We start from the raw sequence: 10,637 nt of genomic DNA on the forward strand, positions 1-10,637 counted from the left end.
GCTGCTTATGGAATTCTTGGTCATCTATTCTTTCATTTACATATTTATTTATTTATTTGCCCTTCAAAGAAATCATTATTTTGTTTTATTATTTTGCCATTTCTATTAAAAATTAACTGTCATTTTCAGGAACTTTTAAGATTTTTTTCCTTCTCTTGATTTCAAATCAGGATTGGTTTTTCTATAATGCAATAAGGTGTGTTTTTCTTATTTATTCTCCTTGTGTTTTATAAAACTTTTAAGTCTATCACTGATATCCTTCATCAGTTTTGATAAAGTATAAAGTATTAACTTTTTTTTTTTTTTTTTTTGAGACGGAGTACTCACTCTTTCGCCCAGGCTGGAGTGCAGTGGTGCAATCCCGGCTCACTGCAACCTCCATCTCCCGGGTTCAAGCAATTCTTCTGCCTCAGCCTCCTGAGTAGCTGGGACTACAGTTGCCCGCCACCATGTCCGGCTCATTTTTGTATTTTTAGTAGAGATGGGGTTTCACCATGTTGGCCAGGCTGGTCTCAAACTCCTGACCTCAGGTGATCCACCCGCCTCAGCCTCCCAAAGGGCTGGGATTACAGACATAAGCCACTGGCGCCGCCAAAGTATCAACATTCAACAGTTCAAATATTATTTTTGGATCTTTCTATATCTTCCCTTCTTGGAAGTTACAAATACTTAAGTATTCTACATGTTTCATACTATTTTGTCTAGTTTGTATTAATTTATCTCTTAATGCTTCAGTTTGGATACTATCTAATTGCCTATCTTCCATTTCACTAATCCTCTTTGTCAAATCTATTAAACTCATGCATTAAATTTTTAATTTCAACTTTTAGTCTTAATTCTAGGATTTTCACTTGACTCTTAAAGTAGATCTCTGTTTTTCCTGTTGATTCAAGTTGTTCGGTACTTTGTATGCCTCGTATGTTTTGATTGAATGCTGAACAATATGTGTGATATAATGTGAAGGCTCTATATGATGTTATATTTTTCCAAAGAGGATTTATTTTTCTTTCTGAAGACACATAGAGTAAAAGCATATCACCGTGATCCCTTGTTCTGGTTTACTCTTAATTTTTGGGCTTAGCATGTCTGGTATCTTAACTAAAAGCTTCTACTTTCACGGACTCTTGCTTTTCTAAATCTATAAGCTTGATAAATTATCTGCTGACTTTTAATCTGTTTTCAACTGCTTTATGATTATTTTCACATTTGAACCTTTTTCTATGTATGCACAGTCTTAGAGTTAGCAATATATTAGGGAGAAATTGCACATATATTGTGTATTTCAATTCTCTGTCATCCTTTTTTTTTTTTTTTTTTTTTGCAAAACCAGTCTTGTTGGCTCTGGTAGGTCTGAACTTTAATGTTAGGCTTTTGTGAAACTGTGTCCCTGTGAGACTGCAACAACATTTACTTGGCTACTGCCTTCCTTTTGGGCTTACTGTTCAGTTTCAAGAATCAGCAAATGCTCCAAGAGGGAAAGGTAGCAGTGAATATAATAATCATCTCAGTGTGGTTTCCTTTTCCCTGTGATTTTTAAAAAATATTCTTATTGAGATGTAATCTACACAATATAGTAATATGTATTTTTCTAAGGATTCTTACATTCAAGTCTACAGAATACAACTTAAAACTTCTACTTCATTAAAAAATTGCTTTCTTGCTATTTCTTAGTTTCTTTGCTTCCGTTGCATTAAAATTCTTTCTTAATTACTGTGCATTCATATTTCCATTGACATTAGTATTTTTTTCCTGAGAATATACATGGTACTTGAAACAATGTAAAAATACAGCATACAATTTTATATTGAGTATTATAAAATAAAATATTATGTAAATGAAAAAACTCAGAAAATAAATTAATTGGAGTCCACTATAAGAGAATTGTTGACAGCTTGCCCAGATGCCCTGAAATTATAAAAAAGATTGTAAGCAAATTAACGCTTTAACAAGATTGTAGAAAAAAAGTCAGAACTGCTAAATTAAGAAAAATAAATACTTTCAGTACTTTGAAAACATCCCTTTACACACAAAAACTTGGCATGCTAATTATAAGCTATGCTTATCTATTAATTAAAGTATTTTTTCCTATCCTGTAGTGGACAAACTTATTTTGAATGGCTGTGTGAACTTTTACATAATAAAACTACTTTTAAAATACCAAACTTAAGGTTTTATAATTGTAACTTTTTCATCCCATAATTTATCTGTGATCATAAACTTTTATACTATTAATATTATTCTACTACTTTTTATTTGATAAAATTATTTTTTAATAATCTACATGACAAAACTGTATGAGAGCCCTAGATAAATATTTATGTGCTTCTTAGGTGAATGTTTAAATTATTTTTTGCTTGCAATTTGATTTCAGAATTAAAATATTCTTAGAGCAGAAATACAGTTTCTATCATGTATGGCTTAAGAAAACAAATGTCAAATAATTTGTTATTCAAAGTGTAGGTATTATCTTCAAAGCAAGCCTGTCATTTATAAACTGTTTAATTCTTTTTATTCTCCAAAAGAGCAACTCCAGATAGCAAACCTTAACACACTGTTTTTCTGAAATTTGATTTTTTTCCTAGTTAAGGCATTTTCTTTCTAATGTAATATAAATGTAATGTCTGAAATTATTTTAAAACGCTTAAAGCAGATATTGGCCAAACAAGATATTAAGGCCTTAAACAAGATATTGATCCAAATTACTTATTGAAGATAAAAACAGAACAGAGACAGGTTGCCTTTTCACTTCTGAAAACCATCTGTGTTTGAGGTGATTCTGAACATGAATGAAGTTGTCTACTGGTCATAGCTAGAACACAAGGGCTTGAATGGTAACAGTAAGAAGGAACACAGTAATCCAGAGCAGGAAAAATGGAAATAATTATCAAAGCAACAATTACAAATGGAAGTGATTAAAATAAAGGTTATGGCATGGTGCCAGTTAACCAATATACCATGCTCACACTCATGTCTCATGAAGTTATGAAGCTAGAAAGGGATGAATGAATTAGGCCATGGTGGAGAATCCAAATAGTTTTTATACTATCTGGACATGAGTCCAAATGTTGAGATTAAACTCAAACAAGCTAAGTGAGCCAAAACACCTGCCTTAGAGTTAAATATTTTGGGTTTGACTTAAGGCTTTGTCACCTAGTATCTGTGTGAATTCAGACAAGTTTTTGACACTCTGTATTCTTTATTATTTTTTGCTACCTGTTAAAAAACAGTCTAAAAATATCCACTATGCCAAACTCACAGAGTCATTTTGGAGGACCAACTTAAGAAGTTTCAATAAAATAAGATTTTACTAATCATCTTCTATGTCTTCCTTCTTACTTGTTACCTTACTGTGTTCCTTCTTACTGTTACCATTCAAGCCCTTGTATTCTAGCTATGACAAGTAGACAACTTCATTTATGTTCAGAATCACCTCAAACACAGACGGTTTTTAGAAGTGCAAAGGCAACCTGTCTCTGTCCTGTTTTTATCTTCAATTAGTAATTTGGATCAATATCTTGTTTAAGCCCTTAATATCTTCTTTGGCTAGTATCTTATATGAATTTCACCTATGAGAAAAAGTATAGCTGTCTTTGTGTTTCAAATTGGTTTTTACGTTGATACATCATTCTGCCCAATGACAGAAAGTACAATTTTCATGTGAGCGGTTGACACATGTAAATGGCTAGTCCTCAGGATTTGCTTGCGTCGGTAAACAGGTGATTTTAACAAGTGGTTATATCCCTCTTTTATTTCTTTTTTTTAACCTTTATATTATATTCAGGGGTACATGTGCAGGCTTGTTACATAGGTAAGCTTCTGGGGGGATTTGTTGTACAGATTATTTCATCACCCAGGTATTAAGCCTAGTACCCATTAGCTATTTTTCCTGATCCTCTCCCTCCTGCCACCCTCCACCCTCCAATAAGCCCCAGTGTGTGCTGTTCCCCTCTATGTGTCCATGTATTCTCAGCATTTATCTCCCACTTTTAAGTGAGAACATGCAGTATTTGGTTTTCCTTTTCCACATTAATTCTCTTAGGATGCTTCGCATCCATGTCTCTGCAAAGGACATGATCTTGTTCTTTTTATGGCTGCATAGTATTCCATGGTGTATATGTACCACATTTTTTTTTTACTGAGTCTATTATTTATGAGCATTTAGGTTGATTCCATGTCTTTGCTGTTGTGAATAGTGTTGCAATGAACATACACATTCATGTGTCTTTATAATAGAATGATTTAAATCCCTTCGGGTATATACCCAGTAATGAGATTGCTTAGTCAAATAGTATTTCCATCTTTAGGACTTTGAGGAATTGCTACATTGTCTTCCACAATGGTTGAACTAATTTACACTCCCACCAACAGTGTATAAGCATTCCCTTTTCTCTGTAACCTTGCCAGGCTCTGTTATTTTTTGACTTTTTAGTAATTGCCTTTCTGACTGGTGTAAGCTGTTATCTCTAATGTATTTCTCTAATGATCAGGGAGGTGGAGCTTTTTTTTCATATGACTGTTGGCTGCATGCATGTCTTCTTTTGAAAAGTGTCTGTTCATGTCCTTTGTCTACTTTTCAATGGAATTCATTTTTTAAATAAATGTGTTTAAGTTCCTTATATATTCTGAATATTAGACCTTCATTAGATGCATAGTTGGCACAAATTTTCTCCCATTCTGTAGGTTGTCTGTTTACTCTGTTGATAGTTTCTTTTGCTGTTCAGAAGCTCTTCAGTTTAATTATATTCCAAATGTCAATTTTTGCTTTTGTTGTGATTAATTTTGGAGCCTTCATCAGGAAATCTTTTCCCATTCTTATGTCCTGAGTGGTATTGCCTTATTGCCTAGGTTGTCTTCCAGGATTTTTATAATTTGAGTTTTACATTTAAGTCTTTAATCCTTCTTGAGTTAGTTAATTTTTAATTTTTGTATGTGGTGTAAGTTATTTATTTATTTATGTATTTTTGATGGAGTTTCGCTGTTGTTGTCCAGGCTGGAATGCAATGGTGCTGTCTGAGCTCACCACAACCTCTGCTTCCCAAGTTCAAGCAATTCTCCTGCCTCAGCCTCCCAAGTAGCTGGGATTACAGGCATGTGCCACCATGCCTGGCTAATTTTTTGTATTTTTAGTAGAGACGGAGTTTCTCCATGTTGGTCAGGCTGGTCTCGAACTCCCAACCTCAGGTGATCCTCCCGCCTCGGCCTCCCAAAGTGCTGAGATTACAGGCATGAGCCACCATGCCCAGCCGTAAGTTAATTTTTGTATGTGTGTTTCTATGTGGTGTAAGGTTGAAACTGAAAGGGTTCAGTTTCTATCTTCTGTATATGGCTAGCCAGTTAACGTAGAACCATTTATTGAATAGGAAATTCTTTCCCCATTGCTTGTTTTTGTCAGATTTGTCGAAGATCAGATAGTTGTAGGTGTGTAGTCTTATTTCTGGGTTCTCTATTCGTTTCCATTGGTCTATGTGTCTGTCTTTGTACCAGTACCATGCTGTTTTGGTTACTGTGGCTTAGTAGCATAGATTGAAGTCAGGTAACATGATGCTTCTAGTTTTGTTCTTTTTGCTTAGGATTGTGTTGGCTATCTGGGCTCTTCTTTGGTATCAAATAAATTTTAAAATCTTTTTTTTTCCTAATTCTGTGAAGAATGTCATTGGCAGTTTAATAGAAATAACGTTGAATTTATAAATTGCTTTGGGCAGTATGGCCATTTTTACAGTATCAATTCTTCCTATCCATGAGCATGAGATGTTTTTCCATTTGTTTGTGTCATCTGTGATGTCTTTGAGCAGTGTTTTGTACTTTTCCTTTTAGAGACCTTTCACCTCCCTGGTTAGCTGTAGTCCCAGGCATTTTATTCTTTTTGTGGCAATTGTGAATGGGAGTATATTCCTGATTTGGCTCTGGGCTTGACTGTTGTTGGTGTATAGGAATGTTAGTGATTTTTGCACATTGATTTTGTATCCTGAGACTTTGCTGAAGTTATCAACTTAAGAAGCTTTTGGGCTGAGACTATGGGGTTATCTAGGTATAGAGTCATGTCTGCAAACAGGGATAGTTTGTCTCCCTCTCTTCCCATTTGGATGTCCTTTTTTTCTTTCTCTTGCCTAATTGTCCTGGCCAGGATGTCCAATAGTATATTGAATAGGAGAGGTGAGAGAGGGCATCCTTATAATAAGGGGTCATATCTCTACACTGGCACCTACCTGGATTCAGCTTTTCAGTTTGACCCCCTACAAGAAACTCCACCATCACTAGCTAATGCTATTCCTTTGACCTACCCACAGGGTTTCTTTAGGTGTTTTGGCATCTGCTGTCACATCTGTGTCTCACTCAGCTCTATAGGAAAACATTTAACTCTCTCCTGCCACCTGCCAGAGATATGCCCTGAGGCTCTGTACCTTTGGCTTCAGTCATCGCTTGACCACATGCAACTCTCTCAACACCCGTGAAGAACCTGCCAGAATGTAGGAACACAACCAGGAATGTGAGCATGGGTTATCTCACTCTTTCATGACTTAAACTAATGTAGGATTTTAGCACAACCCTGTAAGATATGGCCTAGAGAAAAAAAAGAACACAAGACAACAGTCGTCCGTCTATGATCCGTCTCTTGTTCTCTCCCATTCTATAACCACTGGGATCTTATCTGAGTAGGAAAGCAAGAAAAATTTGTTTATGGAATAAACTTTATGACCTGTGTCTTATAAGATTATACTTCAGAAAAACAAAATCTCACCCTCTTGCACTTCTAAAAGCCTTTTCTCTCAAGATCATAATCTCTATTTTCAGTACCAAAAGTCTGTTTTAAGTACAGACTTAAAATATTGACCCATTTGTTTTCCCCTGAATTTATTTTCCTAAAAGACACAATTCCATATTTTCCTAGCTGTTGGGTAGGGGCTGCAAGTACAATAAATTGTGTTTGAAGTGTGAGGGTAGCACTGATGAAGATGTAGACATATCAGTCAATAATTCAACATATTCCTACACATGTGCTTTCCCCCATTAGAAATAAAAGCCTGAGAAAAGAAATGGTTATTCTTTTGACAACTGTGTTCTCAGCATCTAGAATAGCACCTGGAAAATGAATATTTGTTGAATGAAGACCTGTACATAAAATGGCTCAAATCCTCATCAACACAAACACCCACAGAAGTATTGAAAGAGAAAAGGACTAGAGGCAGAAACCTGAGAAAAACAAATAATTTAAGGTGGAAGATAGTGGACAAATTGTTAGTGAAGGAGGATAAGAAGGAGAGGTCAGCAAATTAGAAGAAAACCCAGGTGAAAAAAGAAAAGTGGTACAGAAAGCAAAGAAGGAGAGAATTCAAAGGGCAGAGAAAGCAAACTATGTTAAGAAGAAAATAAAAAACAGTGATCTGGTAGAATAAAGGCTTAAGAGCAGGTGAATGGTTTTGACAATTTATAGGCCATTAATAACCTTTGAGAGATCAGCTTGAATGAAATAGTTGGTTCAGAAGTCCAATTGCAATGGGCTGAAGAGTCAGAAACCAGCTAGGATAATGAATGTGAAAGTGCTTCTTAAATCTTAAACCACTTTAAAAATGCAATTAGAATATACAGCTTGTTAGATTTAGGTCCTGCTTGTTGCTCATTCACCAAACTTTCTGAATTCATCTATTTTTCTTGGCATCAAGCACAGGCAGCTAGGGCTTTAGCTGAGTATGTCACAATCAATGAAACAGATGTTAACATTTCCTTAACATTTTTCTTCTTCCTTGACCTAACCTTTCTTCATAGCATGCCCAGGTTTAAATTAATGCACTGTGATTAAACAATCTTCAAATGCACTCCACTGTTTCTCTAGGTCATTTCAATAGGTCATCTTCTATTGCCAACACCTTCACAACTTGCCCTCAGCTTCTTAAAAAATTCTGATTTGTTTAGGCAAAATTGATAAAACTTTGAATGTGTCCTTGACCTCAGCCACGAGATCTGGAACACAATCTATCACTTAACCATGCCTCAGAACTGGCCCCAATTGCATTATTTTGAATACTTCTTATTTCTTGGCTTCTCTATCCCTGATTTCCATTTTTATGGATTCCCTGTCTATCAAGTGAACTACTAGACATTGCATGAACTTAAGATATCATTAATTACACTCTGAAAGTTTTCTTTTCCTGACTCGGGCATATATTTCTCAAATAACCTCATTCTAATTTTCCTTTTAATGACACCTAATTGTCAGAACATTAATAGAAAGGCATAAAATCAGAAATTTTAGATTGGTTATATTTAAAATAATTCAGAAAGTAACGGTTTGAGAGTATATTAATTTGTTTCATAGAGAAAACACTAGCAGATATTAATATTTAAAGTTTCCTGCCACTATTTGAGATTTTTCTACCAGAACCTTATAACTTATCTTTTCAGCACCAGAACTGTTTATGAAGAAAAATAATCAAATGAAATAATTTCATAGTTATTTTTATTGGCAAAACAGTGACATCTATTGTTCAGTGTTATATAAAATGGAATTCAAAAATCAAAAGCAATGCCTTATTTTTAATGTGATTAGCTCCAGAATAATAACTTCTTAGATTTATTGTTTCAAAAAGAGTAATGGATGATATTCAATAATTCATTTTTATTCTGAAATCAAATTTAGGTGATTATTTAGGATCATGAACATGTAATTATGATTCAAAGGCCCAAGATCTGTCTAGGTACTAAAAATAGAAAGAAAGAAATAAGATAAAAATATGGAATAAAATTCTTAAAGGTGACTGCTTTTTTTCTATATATGTATTTTTCTTGGTATAAATCAGTTTAATATGTTTACTGAAATCTGTGAATCCGCAGATTGATTTCTGAACTCAAGGCAAGTTTCTGTTCTCATCTTAATTCTGTTGTTAACTAAATCTGTGAATTTAAATAAGTTGCTTTCATCTTGGCTACAGTTTATTATCCACAAAAATATGAGTATGAGTCTTGAACTGAAAGTAGTCAACTTCCTGCTAGCATTTATTTTTCCAGAAGATGCTATTCAGAATCACTAGATTAAGCAAAAATTTTTAAAGTTTGACCATACTGAGTGTCCATAATGATATGGAAGAATTGAAATTCTCAAATACTGATGTTAGGAGTATAAACAAATACAGTCCCTTTCTAAAGCAATTTGAAAATATCCTGTAAATTTTAAGGTGAATCTATCCCATCATCCTGCTTTTCCGTTTGTGTAAGCACTTCACAGGGAATTCCCACACATGCACACAAGGAGGTATTTTCAAGAACTACATCATTGCAATATTGAAAAATTCACAATATATTACAGGAGAATTTATAAAATCTTGCATCTGTACCTACTGATATATTTTACAATATAAACATAAAATGATTGAATTACAGTAGCATCTATCAACATGGGTAAACCTCAATCAAACAATATGAGTAAAAGAGGCACATTTCAGATTATGTAGCAAATGACCTTTTATATAAGAAACCAAAATGTTTCTATTCATTGACTATGGGCACACCATAGGTAAAAAAGTATAAAATATTCATGAGAATAATAAAGAACAAATTCATGACAATGGTCACCTATGGAAATACAGGGGAGGTAATGTGACCAGGATGGATACACTGGGACTTGAACTGCATCTGAAATGTTTTCCTTATTGAACAAAAAGAGAGAAAGACATCTGAAGCAAAATAAGGCAAACTGAGGAGCTGTTTTCAATGAGTTATGGGCACACTGATTCTTATTAGATGATTATACTTTTCTGCATGTTTTAAATATTTCATAATTTTGATAAAAACAATATTAAAATTCTAATTCTAAATCTCACAGAAAACTGAGTACCTAATCTTTTTTGTCTATTTTTTGGGATTTTTATGAGATTAGAATTTAGTGACAAGTGTATGATAAGTTCTGAAACATAGTTTGTCTCTCTCCAGTCCTCATATTTGTTAAAACAAAAAAAGCACAGCAAGAATAATTTTTCACATAGGCTTTTAAATTGGCTTTGATGGAACTCTTTTCCACAAGGAATATCGGATTAGACTTTCTAAAGCTGAGACCAGCCATGGGTTCATACCCTCAAATTACTATTAGTTGAGTAAATTCCTCCATTCTTGAAGTCCCAAGATAGCTTGGGGCTCCTGGGCATATTAGAAAATGACGTTCTTTACTTACCACAGGTTAGGAACCCTATACAGTGACTGTGTAGACAAGGTGTGAAGCCAGTTTTCCCAAGCGGCTTTTATTGGCTCTGCAAGTCACGTTTGATTCCTTAAAGGGAAGCACACCCTTCCAGTCAAAGTCTTAGTAAAACAACCAGTTTCTCCAATTGTGTCCTGTTGCAAAAGAAAATGGATTTTTATTGCACTTATCCTACTAACCATATTGCCATAAGTTAAGAATACTCACAAATAGTTTCCAAATTCTAGAGAAACCAGGTGAGAGAAACAAATATGCCCCAAATTTTGTTAACAGGAGTATACCTTACTCAATTGTTAAAAGCTGCAGGCCAGGCGCAGTGGCTCACACCTGTAATTCCAGAACTTTGGGAGGTGGAGGCAGGCGGATCACAAGGTCAGGTGTTCCAGACCAGCCTGGCCAATGTGGTGAAAACCCGTCTCTAGCAAAAATACACAAATTAGCCAGGTGT

The sequence above is a fragment of the Homo sapiens genome, chromosome 17 (assembly GCF_000001405.40).
Source record: "Homo sapiens chromosome 17, GRCh38.p14 Primary Assembly".
Taxonomy (NCBI): domain Eukaryota; kingdom Metazoa; phylum Chordata; class Mammalia; order Primates; family Hominidae; genus Homo; species Homo sapiens.